The 15733-nt window shown below is 41.2% G+C and overlaps 1 protein-coding gene and 1 pseudogene across 5 annotated transcripts in view, besides 1 other annotated feature; both read right to left on the bottom strand.

Annotated features, from left to right (window-relative positions):
* Positions 4611-4818: a silencer, noted in NCBI's record as "fragment chr11:112090776-112090983 (GRCh37/hg19 assembly coordinates)". NCBI's record gives its function as "represses an EF-1alpha promoter that drives an FKBP-Casp9 reporter gene in an ReSE screen in HepG2 liver carcinoma cells {active_cell/tissue: HepG2}" and the evidence as "EXISTENCE:reporter gene assay evidence [ECO:0000049][PMID:32094911]".
* The window catches only part of BCO2 (beta-carotene oxygenase 2), a 43435-nt gene continuing 33626 nt past the window's right edge, over positions 5925-15733 (bottom strand). For 4 of the 5 annotated variants that reach the window (NM_031938.7, NM_001256398.3, NM_001037290.4 and 1 more), the window contains 4 exons: positions 11010-11147; positions 9927-10109; positions 8541-8651; positions 5925-7110 (listed from right to left, as the gene is read on the bottom strand). In NM_031938.7, the coding sequence (NP_114144.5) occupies positions 6997-7110; positions 8541-8651; positions 9927-10109; positions 11010-11147 (546 nt within the window). In that variant the 3' untranslated portion in view covers positions 5925-6996. The remainder of the gene's footprint in view (positions 7111-8540; positions 8652-9926; positions 10110-11009; positions 11148-15733) is intronic. The other variant, NM_001256397.3, reaches the window with a different exon arrangement.
* Positions 6129-6627, bottom strand: RPS12P21 (ribosomal protein S12 pseudogene 21; annotated as a pseudogene).

Raw genomic sequence — 15733 nt, 5'->3', positions numbered from 1 at the left:
CCTTTTGTCTATTTTGGCTTTTGTTGCCATTGCTTTTGGTGTTGTAGTCATGAAGTCCTTGCCCATGCCTATGTCCTGAATGGCATTGCCTAGGCTTTCTTCTAGGGTTTTTATGGTTTTCGGTCTGATATTTAAGTCTTTAATCCATCTTGAGTTAATTTTTGTGTAAGGTGTAAGGAAGGGATCCAGTTTCAGCTTTCTACATATGGCTAGCCAGTTTTCCCAGCACCATTTATTTAATAGGGAATCCTTTCCCCATTTCTTGTTTTTATCAGGTTTGTCTAAGATCAGATGGTTGTAGATGTGTGGTGTTATTTCTGAGGCCTCTGTTGTGTTCCATTGGTGTATATATCTGTTTTGGTACCCATACCATGCTGTTTTTGTTACTGTAGGCTTGTAGTATAGTTCGAAGTCAGGTAGCGTGATGCCTCCAGCTTTGTTCTTTTTGCTTAGGATTAATACCGTTTCTTTAAAAAAAAATTTTTAAAGAGCAAGAATTTGAGAGCACAAATAGGACCACGTGACAACAGTCCTTTGGACTGTTGTGTAATGATCCTTACTAAGGGAAATTCTAAAGCCATTCTTATCCACAAGCATGTATGGACCCATTTATTACTCTGGGTTGGCATAGTGTGAATACAGACACCCCTAAACACATATTAGCAATTCTTCTGCCAGTGTAGACACATTGAGAGTGAAAGGATCTTGTTTCCTCACATCTACTCACAAGAGTAACCAAACTACACACAGTTCCCAGAATCATGTCACCTCTTGCTTCCATTCACTCTTTCACTAAATATTTATTGGGCATCTACTATGTGGCTGGCATTGTTCCAGGTACTGGAGAGGACAGCTCCACTCTATATGAGAAAAATCATCACTGTATATGATGAAAAGCAGGACAAGTCACTGATTAATAACAGGCTTGGAAAAGTTTCCTGTAAAAAGAAAGATAAAATCATGGGGGCGATAGAAATAAGCTCAAATGGTGATTTCCCTCAAATATCTCCTATTTACAGCTATATATTCTGTTTGTTCTGCATTAAACTACTAACAGGTTATTTAGCAAACACTCTCCATACATTTTCAGATGTTTGTCTCATCTACCCCATTGTACTGTAAAGAAAAAACTTCAAATAACATTTAGAGATTTTCGAGATAGAGACTGTTTAGTTCAATACTTTCACTTTACAGATAAGAAAATACAGCCACAGATAAGTGAATTACTATTGCGAGATCACTCAGAACAGAAACATTATTTCCCAGGTATGGACTGCCTCAGTGATAAATACTCTCTAACAGTCAGTGGTTACACAAATAGTTGCTCATTCCAAAACCAGCTTAAAGAATCAAAATAAAGTGAAAGAGTAAGAGAAATTTCTGCAAAATTATTTTTATTAATAATACTTGTTTGTTTTAGTAAAATATTTCACTGCATTTGCAGAGTTGAAGTTTAACCTGTTTGGAAATAGGATTGTTGCACACGTATTGAGATGAGGTGTTTAGGATGGGACCTAATCCAACATGACTAATGTTCTTGTAGAAAGGGGAAACTTGGACTCAAAAACTGACACATACAGAGGGAAGATCATGTGAAGACACAGACAACACCATCTCCAAGCCCAGGAGAGAGAACTGGAACAGATCTTTCTTCAAAGCCCTCAGAAGGAAAAAACCAACTTTGATTTCAGACTTCTAGCTTCCAGAATTGTGAGACAATTCATTTCTGTTAAGACCTCTGTGGTACTTTGTTATGGCAGCCCTAGCAGACTAACACACTAACCAATAAGCAAATAACATTCCTCTTAACTTAGCTTTCAGTGCCTTGAGATCAACAGCCATTTAGGTATAGTTCTCCCTTCACTCTTGCAACATTTACTGGCTTGTGCTTGGCTGCGTTGTCTCAGAAGGCTAGCTTCTACTAAAAGATCCCATAAGGGCCCCTGGCCAGCCTTCCTGCCTCAACTCCCCTGCTGTCTCCAGGGGCAGGTGGCAGGCATGGGTACCTGCATTTCACTGGAGTGGGTTCTTGGATCTCTGAGGGGAAGGAACAGCAGAAGAGGCCCTTCTTCCTCACCCAAGATGCAGGTGGTTGGGGCCAGGAGTTTGGACCCTCCAGGTCTTGGGGGAATAGCTGGGTAATACCTGGTGTCTGAGCGATTCTCTGCAGACCCTTCCCCTCCTCAAGGACCACCCATCCTCCTTTCAGCCCCCTTTATGGGGGCCGGGCAGCTCTGGAGCCAGCCACAGAGTCTCTTACAGAAGCAAGGCCTGGAGTGGCCTGCACCAAGAAGCAGGGTCAGGGTTCGTGTGCTCCTCCTCCTGCCACAGGGGCCGCACATCCCATTGCCCCACTTCTGCTTTCTGTCTCCCTCTGTCTAGCTTCTAGGGCAGGAGCAGGCCCCACCTAGGGCTGCAGGCAGTTTGGCCTGTGCCAGCACGGGCTCCTGTGCCCACCAGCCTCACAGGTGCTGTGCTTTGTGCTCTTGGCTGCTGTGCTGGGACAGAATGGGATGCCAGGAAGAGAAGAAGAAGAAAGGGGGTGCAGTCTGAGGCCACCACCCTCCTTCCTATCTAAGGGAGGGCTGAAGACAAGGGGCTGGCATTCAGTGGGTAACAGAAAGGAGAGGCCCCTTGAAGCTGCTCAGTCAAAGGGCCCCTGTCCCTCCTTTTGCTCTCCCCAGGACTAAAGACCTGAAGGGGCTGGGTGTGGGGCTGGCTTTTGGAGTGTCAAGGTGAATATGTGGGAGCAGAGATCATGAATAACTCAGGGCAGTGAATGGCGCACCAAGGGCAGGGCTGTGTGTGGGAGGCTGCGGCCAAAATTGCCTCAGCTCCTCCCCCTCAGGCTGGGAGGCTGGGGGCTGGGGGTGGGGGTGGAGGGTCTCAGCTCTGCTGCCCCCACCCCAGTACTAGCCTAGCTTCCCAAGCTGGGGCTTAGAGGATAGTTGGCTTCCTGCCTCTCTCCACTAAAACAGCAAGTCTGGGAAATCCTGGGGCGAGTGGAGTCAACCCACACCCCAGTTGCTGGCAGAGACTGAGACTAAAGCATCACTTAATAAATACCCCCAAGCCCCCCCACCAAAAAAAAGATCCCATAAGGTACTCCAATGGACATATATTGGCAAGGTAGGCCCCATATCTATCACCTTCTGGTCCTCATTCACTTATTAAGTTAAAAAAAAAGTGTTTATTTAACATCTAATGAATGCCAAGTGCACTGCTAAGTGCCAGGGGCGCAGTATGAATAATAAACACGTTTCCTGTCCTCATACAGTTCAAGCTAGTGAGGGAGCTAAACACAGAAATAAATCATGACAAACTAAAAAAGAAAAAAAACACTAATTCTCCCTCAGGAAGTAAAAGAAGGCTTCAAAGAAGAGATGACTTTTGAGCTGGATTTTAAGATTCACCAGGTAGATAAGGGAATTCCAGGAAGAGAATGTAAGCAAAGGAAATGTGGAAAAGTACAGCTTGTTTACTGCATATTGAAGAGTTCTTGGCTACAATGGGGAGATAGGTGAGAGGTAAGACTGGAAACATTGATTGGGGACCAAATTATTGAAAGGCCTTGAATGTCATTTAAGTATAAACGAAAGGAGGTTTCACCCCCTTATCTCCCTTGTAGCTCCCCACAAAAAGGGAATTTTCATCTGCTTAAATCACATTTCCAGGCACTGGTTGGGCCTTGTTGACTCACAGGCAGGCCTACAATGTGTTAGAAGTACCACACATGGTGTTGCTTACTCTCCAGAGCTATGCTCAGAGGAAAAAAAAAAAAATCAAGCCAAAGCTCTCCCCTACTCCCACCCTGCCCCAAGGAGGCCTAGCTGGCTGGTTCATACGTTTTCCTACTGCTTGCCTCCTGTGGAGGACCCAACCTGCCCATTTGCCTCTTCCTTTTCCCCTCAATTGTGCACCACTTACTCCCTTTCCTTGAATCCTCAGACACTGGCTAGTGGTAAGAGTTGGGCTTAGGCAGAGGAAGAGGCCCAGCCTATGCTTTGGGCCTTGGTCATATGCTCACTCAATTTTACCAGAACTTTCTCCCTTGGATTACCAGGCATATATGCCTAGATTATAACATGCCACTGATCCTTTTTTGTGTTCTCCTTCAAGAAACAGAGAGCAGAGCAGAGCCAAGGCAGAATTCAGGTATCCTTAGGTCAAAATCTTATGATTATACTGCTATCCTTCATATGTCTGAACTTCATTCCCTGTGTATTAAGATAGAGATTTATAAACAGAGGAAAGATGTGACAGATCTATGGACTTGCCAGAGGTCATCCAGAGTCTCCTTCACCCTTCAGATCTAGGAAGATCAATCAAATCTCCATGTTTTGTCTGAGGAAGTACAATGAATGCCTTTTCAGGGACTTCTGTGAAAGGAAACACTGGGGGACTTACACTCTCATGGTTACCTGAGGCTCTTTGCTCCTGCATCTGCTGCATTAGTTCTGTTTAGGCATCTTCTTGCCATTCTAAACCTGCTGCTGTGTTCTGCATCTCACAAACCCAGACATGGAACTCAGCCCTTTTACTTTATTGCCACAGTGCAAAGCTCCACGCATGGCATTTGCATGTATGGAACACATCACTAAAGAAGATGGGGTCTGTGAAGTTTGAAGTGACTCTTAAGGAAAATTAGACAGGAAACTATGTTAGTCCAGGACGGTGCAGAGAGCCTAACCATGAGTTCACAGGTGCCACATATTGTATGTCTGGGGGTCTTCTCCAGAGCATTCACCATGTGGAAGGAGCATAAACAGTTTAACTGGTCCTGGAATGGTGTTCAGCAGAGGGAAGGGAGTGTAACTGAAGGAAAAGGGAACAAGGGATTTTGGGGGTGTTGGCAAGAGTGTCGTTTAAGTGACAGACCTTGCCTGCCTACGGCTGTTGGTAAGATCAGGCAGGGTTTAGAAATGTGAAGATTATATGGTCTCTAGTGCCACCTGCTGTCCAATTAAATGAAGCACTACTGGCTTGTCATCCATCCCTGAGAACTATACACGTAGAGATTAGAATAAATGCCTGATTTTAGTGATGTTCCTCAAAATAAGCTCCCAAAGCCGAGCTGAGGGTGGGGTGGGGGTAGTGGGTGGTCCATAGGAGGGTTGTGCAATTGCAGTAGCATCTGCTGTGGACAGCAGAGAAAAAAACAGTTTAGAAGAAGCCTCCATGCAGGATATAGCCAGCTTCCTGTCTTCTGAGTACCTTAGGACCAATGGTAACAGGCAGACTGTGATGGAAAGAACAAGGTGCTTTTCAGATTTGTATTCAAAGTCTACTATCTATGATCATTTGTATTTCTTCTCCTAGGACCTCTGTCATCCACCTATCCGATGATGGTAATTGACAGAGCAGGAGCATCTTTATTTTGGACAAACCGCCACTTTAAGTTCCAGCTCCCTTTCTAGCCTCATGCATTTCAAGGAAATCACTTCTCTTCTAACTACAAGCAAACAGAAAAAGCAGACAGTAAAACACAAATAAAACAGCACGGGCACAGAGGGAAGTAGGGGGAAAGTCTCTTGGGTAACTGCCAAATTTCACCCTCATATAATGGGCCCCAGTGAAACAGTGGGCCTTAATAAGGACATTCCTCTCCCTTCAGGTGCACTAAGATAGGGAAGCTAAAAGCAGACTTTGGGGGGTATGCCTGCAGCTGCAAAAAAATATGTATGGGAACAAACACACAACTCTCCCTCCCAAATAAACACAACAAAGAAACACAGAAGCAGTCCAAGCCTCTAATAAACTCTCCCACCCTGAATCCTTAAAAACTCTTAGTCTGTAAAAAAGTGTGCCTCTAATCTAACTCAGCCAAAAGGCTCCTCTCGGGTTTGTTTTTTCTAAAATAAACCTGTCTTAACTGGCAAGCCACCTTTCATGTTTCTTTCCTCTTTCTTTAATTCTTGCAGTAATGACCAAAATACATGAATTTTTATTTCGTGTATTCTTATTATTACCTAGAGGAAGATATATCCAATAAATGAAATTTAAAACCCTCTTCAAAAGGTTGTATCAATACTTTCTTAATTATTTCAAGTAAGAGCCCTAAAAAATAAATATCTATAACCATAGTTATATTATGAATTCTGCTTTGTGGTGTTTTTTCTTAAGAAACATGAGTGCCAAAGTTTTATTTGTTCATTTCTTACATTTGAAATACTCTTCGATGACATCCTTGACTTAAGATTCTTTGACCTAGTCCTTAACTACTGCACAACTGCAGCCAACCACTTTTCGGGGGTTTCCCTCTCAGTTTTACAGAGGCCTACCCATTCCTCTGGTTTCTTGTTGTCATCAACCTTAATTAGGGTGAGTTGGTGTTCAGCACCATGGGACTCCACCAACTTGACATACATAGGCTCATTGCAGTTGGGTGCAGGCAGACAAAAGTGGGCTTGGTGCTTGTCTAACGCTTTGGCAGCTTCACAAATTGCACATGCTAGGCCATGATGAGTGAGGGCAGTCTTCCGCACCTCTTATAAAGTAGTGTTAATGGCCATGACACCTCCAGCAGCAATGCCTCCATTGGTCATGATGGTGTATTAAGGGTAAAACCGAAGCTTGTATGCACTCGAGCCTCTGCCATGGCGTGACTTGGCAGTGGCAAGGAAATAGTGAATTCTGTTTTTAACAGAAATTTTTAAACTAAATGTCTATTTGGGACATTGGTTTGGGAGGTACGGTGCCCTTTATGCTCTGTCTTTTGTATAGAGTACATTCTTTGTTTTTCTTTTTATTTTTATTTTAGATTCTGGGGTACATGTGCAGGCTTGTTACATGAGTATATTGTGTGCTGCTGAGGTTTGGACTTCTAACGAACCCATCACCCAAATAGGGAACATAGTATTCAATAGGTAGCTTTTTAACCCCTGCCCCTCTTCCTCCTTGCCCCCCTTTTGGAGTCCTCAGTGTTTATTTCTCCAGTCTTTATGTCCAAGTGCACACTTATTTTAAACCTAGTTTCCAGACCTTGTGGTTGTCCCATCAGATGGGTATGAAGGTACCATGGAACCCATAAGGCATCTGCACAGGTACCTCTGCTCGGCCCAGCTCTTCAAAGTTCTTGGCATCCAAAACTAGGATAAAATTGCTTTCATTCTAGAAAAGAAAAGACAATATTGAAAATTATCTTTTTTTCATCAAAAATTTGCCTGTCTCCTCCACTAAGCTGTAAAATTCCTAATGGAGAGACCATGTTGGTCAGGCACAGTGGCTCACACCTGTAATCCTAGCACTTTGGGAGGCCGAGGTGGGTGGATTGCTTGAGATCATGGTTGAAGACCAGCCTCGGCAACATGGCAAAACCCCATCTCTATAAAAAATACAAAAATTAACCAGGCGTGGTGGTGCACACCTGTAGTACCAGCTACTCAGAGGCTGAGGCAGGAGGATCGCTTGAGCCTGGGAGGCAGAGGTTGCAGTGGGCTGAGACTGTGCCACTGCACTCCAACCTGGGTGACAGAGCGAGACCCTGTCTTTAAAAAGAAAAGAAAAGAGAGAGAGAGAAAGAAAGAGCAAGACCATGTCTTACACATCTTCATACCTCTCCCCAGAACCTAGCACAGTGCCTCACCTATACACTCACAAATTGTTTCCTCAGTTGCTGAACTGGACTGGAAAGGATATCATGGCTAAAGAAGTTCATACCTACAGCAAAGAAATTAAGTTGTTTCTATCAATCACCTTCACAGAATTTCTTTGAGTTTAATATTTTTGCTTGTGCCTTTCCAATCTTCTAAAAGACAGAAACTCTTTCTTCCAAGTTAGAAATGCCTCCATTTTGTGTTACTTTGGAGCTGTTTAAAGGCCAGCATTGCAAGGCAGATTGAGATCTGCCAAATCTAATTCCAGGAATGGCAAGTGCATGGCATGAGGACAAAGTCCTCCTAAAGCCCATGGCAGATATCGCTAATTGATCACAGCCTTTCTTACTGAACCCTTAAAAGGCCTCAGAGCCCTGCACCCCAGGCAGCCACTAATAATTAATCAAAGTTGATACTCAAAGTGAACCTATTTGCCATAAGATTGCCCTAGACAAGAAGTCAGATAGTGCATAGTGTTATTGGGACACTGGACCAGGACTGATGACATTGGACTTGGAGGTCAGTTCATTGAAATTGGCAGCACACATGATGATATAAACATTAGACTGGAAGTCAAAAGACTTGGATTTAAATACTGGCTTTACCACCAGGAGATCTGATGCAAGTCTACTTCAACTTGTTTACTTTACAAATTCCACATGTATAAAATGGTATCCCACAAAGTTGTTTTGATAACTAAATATGTGTAAGTAGTTCGTAAATAACAAATTCCTTTGCAAATACAAATTGTTATTATGGCCTTCCAAACAGAACTTTAAAACAATAAAATATGGATTGAGATAAAAGGGTATGTAAATAGTAAGGAGGGGAAGAGAAGGGAAAAGGAATCAAAGTAAACTATCGACAGATGAGTGTGCATCCTTGATTTATCAGATGACTCAGTGCTACTTTTCTTTCTGACTGGTGATAGGGAAATATATTTACCTGGTTGGGAGTGATCACCACAGAAAGAATAACCCCACCATCTTCTTCATTGGTTCCTGGTGCTGGAACAAAAACAGGTTCTGAGGGATAAAAGCCATCTTCTCTCCAAACCTGCAAGTCCCAAAAAAAGCATTTGATAAAAGGCAAGTAGTAAGTAGGGAGCTTTCTATGGCTTTTGTCACTCCAAGCATGAATTTGGCTGTGATGTAGTTTGGATGTGTGTCCCCTCCAAAGCTCATGCTGGAGTGCTGAGCCCAGTGCTGAAGGTGGGGCCTAGTGGGAAGTGCTGGGTGATGGGGGCCAGTCCCTCATGAATAGCTTAGCACCATCCCCTTGGTGACAAGTGAGCTCTCGCTCTATTAGTTCGTCTGAGAGGTAGTTGTTTTAAAGGAGCATGGCACCTCCTCCTCTCTGTCTTGCTCCTACTCTCTCACCATGTGGCATGAGGCTCCCTCTTTGCCTTCTGCCATGATTCTAAGCTTTCTGAGGCCTCATCAGAAGCTGAGCAGATGCTGGTACCATGCTGGTACATCCCACAGAACTATGAGCCAAATAAGCCTCTTTTCTTTTTCCTTTTTTTTTTGTTTTTTTTTGTTTTTTTGTTTTGTTTTGTTTTGATTTTTGAGACGGAATCTCGCACTGTCGCCAGGCTGGAGTGCAGTGGCGCAATTTCAGCTCACTGCAACCTCTACCTCCTGGGTTCAAGTGATTCTCCTGGCTCAGCCTCCCAATTAGCTGGGATTACAGGCATGTGCCACCACGCCCAGCTAATTTTTGTATTTTTAGTAGAGACAGGGTTTCACCGTGTTGGCCAGGATGGTCTTGATTTCCTGACCTTGTGATCCATCCCCCTCGGCCTCCCAAAGTGCTGAGATGACAGGCGTGAGCCACCACACCCAGCCTAAACCTCTTTTCTTTATAAATTATCCAGCCTCGGGGATTTCTTTATAACAACACAGAACAGACTAACACAGGCTGTCAATAGAATATTCCAAAAGTAAAAGAATCAGGCCTACTGAGTTGAATATGGGAGAAAGAGAGGGAGTCTTTGCAGTCCCAGATTCCATCACCATCAAACACAATTTGTGTAACTATAATTTGCCATCAACTTTAAATATAGGTGTCCTAACAACCCTAACCCCACAATTGCTCCCAAAATAACATCAAAATCAAACATAGAATTATTTTGCTGGGCCTGGGGTCAATTTGGATTCCCTAGAAGGAACATACCCCTAACTTAGATGATTTCATAGTTCTCAAATAAAAGAAAATGGCTCAGCTGCTTAAATACTGAAGAATCTTAAGAGCTACTTTAAATAAAACAAACTAATTCAAAGGGAAGAACAGGTCTCTGAAAAGTTCAAAAAGGAAAGAGTTTTTCATCACCTTCAGTGTCTTATTCACCACATCAACCTTGATCAGAGAATCCCCCACTAAATGCCGAAAGCCACAGCCATAAAAGAAATGATACTTTTTGCCACTGAATCGATCATAGTAGATCTGAGGAAATTCAATGCCTCCTTCCTTTTCTAGGTCCTCCTGATGTAGATTTTCATGAGAGCACCAGATCTAAAAGAGATTTCAAAAGGATTTGTAGTGGTTGCTTAATTCTTATTTTCCTCTTATGTAGGTCAGTGAGGAGCCTCATACCCTATAAAGGTTTGTGACAGGGCTTGGGAACTGAGGTTCTATGTCATGTTTTAATATTGTTCCTCTTTCCATCATATGTGTGGATGCATAATGATTATCAAGTTTTATTAATAAGCTGTCAAATGACATAGGAGGTGGAGATATGCGTTTTATTCTTCTAAAGCTAAGGCATTGACAGCTACACAATGATAGGTCTGTGCTAAGCACATATTATCTAAAAGGTGGGGATTGCAGCTGGACGCGGTGGCTCAAGCCTGTAATCCCAGCACTTTGGGAGGCTGAGGCGGGCGGATTACCTGAGGTCAGGAGTTCGAGACTAGCCTGGCCAACATGGCAAAACCCCATCTCAACTAAAAATACAAATACATTAGCCGGGCGTGGTGACAGGTGCCTGTAGTCCCAGCTACTCGAGAGGCTGAGGCAGGAGAATTGCTTGAACCCAGGAGGCAGAGGCTGCAGTGAGCCGAGATAGCACCACTGCACTCCAGTCTGGGCGCCAGAGCAAGACTCCATCTCAAAAAATAAAAATAAATAAAAAATAAAAGGTGGGGATTGCTAATGCCAAGCTCAAATGGATAGACATTCCACAACCATTAGACAGTTCCATATCTCTGTTTCAAAGCACAGGAAGGATAGATAAACACTGTGTTCATTCCCACTGTTTCTGCAATTCTTGTGCAAGCGATGTTACATAACCTTAACCTGCTCGGATGAATGTTATAAAAGTTATTGGGTACCAGACATTTTGGAAAACAGCTAAAGAATAAAGTAACACCATTAAAGTTCAAAGTCTTAGTCTAATGTCTGTTCATAGCATACCGTTCCATCAGCCTGTTTCACAGCACTGGCTGAAGTATAGGACAATGGACTCAGGTTGTCTCCCTCAGGGGCATTCAAACTGACATTTAAAGGCAAAACAAACCTTCGAGGGAAAGATTTGGCTGCTGAATTATGGACCTGTTTGGGAAGAAGAAAGAGATGAAAATTGTCATTCATATGGTAACAGTATGTCCCAATAATTTAGATCCAGTCAACATCATTGGCATTCCTAAATATTTAAATAAATGATAATTTCCATTCATTCATCTACTTAATATTTGTTGAGTACCTACTATAGCCCAAGCAGTTTTAGACACTGGAGATACAGTCATGAATAAAGCAAAGTCTTTGGCCTCATATAATTTATATTCTAGTGGAGGAATGATAATAAAGAAATTTAAAAATTATAAAATATTTGTGGCCAGGTGCGGTGGCTCATTCCTGTAATCCCAGCACTTTGGGAGGCCAAGGCAGGCGGATCACCTGAGGTCTAGAGTTCAAGACCAGCCTGACCAACATGGAGAAACCCTGTCTTTACTAAAAATACAAAATTAGCCGGGCATGGTGGCTCATGCCTCTAATCCCAGCTACTCGGGAGGCTGGGGCAGGAGAATCACTTGAACCTGGAAGGTGGAAGTTGCGGTGAGCCGAGATCATGCCATTGCACTCCAGCCTGGGCAACAAGAGTGAAACTCCGTCACAAAAAAAAAAAAAAAAAAAAAAAAAAAAAGTTATTTAATTAGCATCAAATAAACAAATGATTATATAACAAAGAGTAAGAAACTAGAGAGTAACAAAGGGTGCTTTCCTTCTTCAGATTTGATCAGGTAGACCTCTGTGTGGAAAAGGATCAACTTAGTAAGCCTGGGTTGCTCAAACCCTGCACTATTTCAAGAAAGACTTGTTTTCATGACTGACCTTGGGCTGGTTGCTGGGAACTGAGCTCTTGGGATGTTCTGTCTGATAAGAGTGTTCTTGCATGTGCCAGTCCTTAAGTGACTCTGCAGTAGTTTGTCCAGATAGTTTATGCTAACAATGTGATTTATAATGAACACCTCCATTCCCTTGAGGATCTGGAACATCAGTAACTGAGGGTCATCATGTAGGGGTTTTATGCTTATATGATTCATCCCCAATAAAAACCCTGGACAAGCAGGCTTGGGTGGGTTTCTTTGGCAGACAACATTTTACACATGTTGTCACTAGTTCCTGGAGGAATTAAGCATGTCCATTGTGACTCTACTGGGAAAGGACTCTTGGAAGCATGTACCTGGTTTCCTCTAGACTTCATCTCATGTGCCTTTTCCTTTTGCTTATTTTGCTTTGTATCCTTTTACTGTAATCATGAGTCATGAGTATGACTATATAGAGTCTTTTTAAAAATTTTTAATAAAGATGGTATCTCACTATGTTGCCCAGGCTTGTCTCGAACTCCTGGGCTCAAGCAGTCCTCCTGCCTTGGGCTCCCAAAGTGCTGGAATTACAGGCGTGAGCTACCTCGCCTGACCTATTTTGAGTCTTATGAATCCTCCTAATGAATTATCAAACCTAGGGGTGATCCTGGGAACTCCCAACACAGCTTCTCCATAGAGATGATGTTTAAGCAGGAGACCCAAATAAAGTAAGTGTGTTTTTCCTGACAGTAAGTGCTTTAAGCCCATTTTCCTCTCTGAAATACTGTAGGATGGAGAACAAACTGCACCATTTCCTCCCATATACCTAGTCTATATGATCTCTGTAGCATGCAGAAATATTTTTAGTGAGTAAAGATTTAGTGCTATTCTTAAGATTCATAAAGTTATTAGCTTTTTTTTTTATAAAAGGTCACCATGGCTTCAGAAGTTACCAACTTTTTAAAAATGACTTTTAATTATATTTACAATTGTTTTCTCTTGCAAAACCATAGCTAACCCAAAAGACGCTTCAAATAATGGTAGATTACATTATATGGATCAACTACCCCATTGAAAACAACTAGAAATTATGGACAAAATGTTTAAAACAGCTGCCTGAAGGCACTGGTGAGCTAAAAAGACAGTGAAGAACAAAGGGGCCAGGTTTGGGATGAAAAGGAAACCCACAGAAACCAACTGGATACTGGGGCAAGTTTTTCCCTAACTACTTAAACATATGCTCAACATCATTAGTCATTAGGAAAATGCAAATCAAAACCACAATGAGATATCACTTCACACCCATTAGGATGGTTATTATTTTTTTAAAACCCAGAAAATAACAAATGTTGGTAAAAACGTGAAGAACTGGAACTCTTGTGCATTGCTGATGGTAGAAAAATGCTGTGGCCACCGTAGAAAAATAGTTTGGTTGTTCCTCAAAAAGTTAAACACAGAATTACATGATCTAGCAATTCCACTTCTAGATATATACCTAAAAGAACTAAAAAAAGGAATTTGGATATTTGTATGCCAATGTTCATAGCAGCATTATTCATAATACTCCAAAGATGGAAACAACCCAAGTATCCATCAACAGATGAATAAACAAATATTGTGTGTGTGTGTGTGTGTGTGTGTGTGTGTGTATACAATCGAATATTATTTAACCTTAAAAGGGAATGCAATTCTGATACATGCTACAACATAGATGAACTTTGAAAACATTATGCTAAGTGAAATAAGCCAGACACAAAAGGACAAGTATTGTATGACCCCACTTACATGAAGTACCTAAAATAGGCAAATTCATAGAAACAGAAAGTAGAATAGAGGTTACCAGGGACTGGAGGTGGGGGGAACAGGGAATTATTGTTTAATGGGTACAGAGTTTCTGTTTGAGATGATGAAAATGTTCTGGAAATGGATAGTGGTGATGTTGCACAACATTGTGAATTTACTTAATGCCACTGAATTGAACACCTAAAATGGTTAAAATGGTAAATTTAATGTTATATATATATACTTTCTACACCATAAAAAAAGAAATAATACAGAGATTTCCCATATATTCGTCATCCTTTTTTGCCAGTAGGAATGTCTTGCATAATTATAATATAATATCACAACTGGGAAATTTACATTGATACAATCCACCAACCTTATTCTAGTTTAACATGCATTCGTGTGTGTGTGTGTGTGTGTGTGTGTGCGTGTATTTAGTTCTATGCTATTTTATCATGTGTAAATTCATGTACCCACCACGCCACTCAAGATACAGAACAGATCCATCACCACAAGGATCCTTCACGCTACTTTTTGATAAGGGTATAGCCATAGCAACTCACTTACCCCTTAACCTTAAAGAGAAGGGCTTTTCAATAGTTTTGAGGGCTAGAGTGACAAAAGTTTGAATTTACGATTTTCCAAGAAGAGGAAGGCCTAGTAAACCTCTAGTCCTTTGGGTTGGGACCTCATAGGTCTGTACCCTATGAATAAGAATAAACAAGAAATAGTCCAGCTCTTGCATGGACTGAATCCTGCTTCAAATTATATAAGCAAGTGAAATTCTTCTCTAGAGGAAAATAACATCATCTTGTGTCTCAAAATATTTCCACAATTTTTAAAACACAATATTCTGCAAATGAAAGGAAATAACCAGCACATGAAAAGACAAGGCAACATGATTAAAAACCAAAATAAACAACAGATAACAGAAACAGAATCACAGAAGATCCAGATACTAGTTATCAGACTTTAACTATTCTAAATATGTTTAAGGAAATTATTTTAAACTGAGAATTGTGGTAGAGAACTATAAATTGGAAAAGAGAACCAAATCAATATTCTAGAACTGTAGATCTGCCTATAAGGAAATTTTCAAGTCTGGAAGGCTTTACTGTTGAATTATTCCAAATATTTAAGAAATAATATCAATCCTATACAATATCATCCAGAAAGAAGGAAAACAGAGAACAATTCCCAACTCATTGTATGAGACTAGAAAAACCACAAAACCAAAACCTAGTAAGAACATTATAGAAAAGAAAAAAATTAAAGGGCAATTTTATTCATGAACATAGATACAAAGAATTCTAAACAAAATAGTAACAAAGCAAATCCTGCAATATATTTAAAAGCAAATAAAATGCGACCAATTGGGATTTACTTCAGGAATGGAAGGGTAGCTTAACATTCAAAAATCAATCAATGGCTGTTATGAACATTTTTTAAAGAATCAGTCAATGTACTTCACCATGTTCACAGAATAAAGGATAAACGTTATATGATTATCTCAATAGTGCAGAAAAAAAACAGTTGATAAAGTCCAACATCCATTCATGACAAAAAATCTCAGTAAACTAGGAGTAAAAGGGAACTCTCCTAATCTAATAAAATGTATCTTTTTAAAAAGTTGTCCACACAAAACGTGCTAACAAATATTTATAACAGCTTTATTCATAATTGCCAAGAATTGGAACCAACCAAGATGTCCTTCAATAAATGAATGAATACACATTTCAGCGATAAAAAGAAATGAGTTCTCAAGCCACAAAAGACACAGAGGAACCTTAAATGCATATTGCTAAGTGAAAAAAGTCAGTCTGAAAAGTCTACATACTGTATGATTCCAACTATGTGACATTCTGGAAAAGTCAAAACTACAGAAATAGTGAAAAGATCAGTGGTTTCCAGGGGCTGAGAGGAGGAAAGGGGAAGGGACGAATGGGGGAGCACAGGGAGATTTTCAGGGCAGTGAACTATTCTGTATGATATTGGTAGATACATGACATTATGCATTTTTCAAAACCGGTAGAACTGTACAACACA

Source organism: Homo sapiens, chromosome 11, assembly GCF_000001405.40.
Source record: "Homo sapiens chromosome 11, GRCh38.p14 Primary Assembly".
NCBI classification, from domain to species: Eukaryota; Metazoa; Chordata; class Mammalia; order Primates; family Hominidae; genus Homo; species Homo sapiens.
Note: the sequence above shows the minus strand (reverse complement) of the source record. Positions and strands in the feature narration are given on the sequence as shown.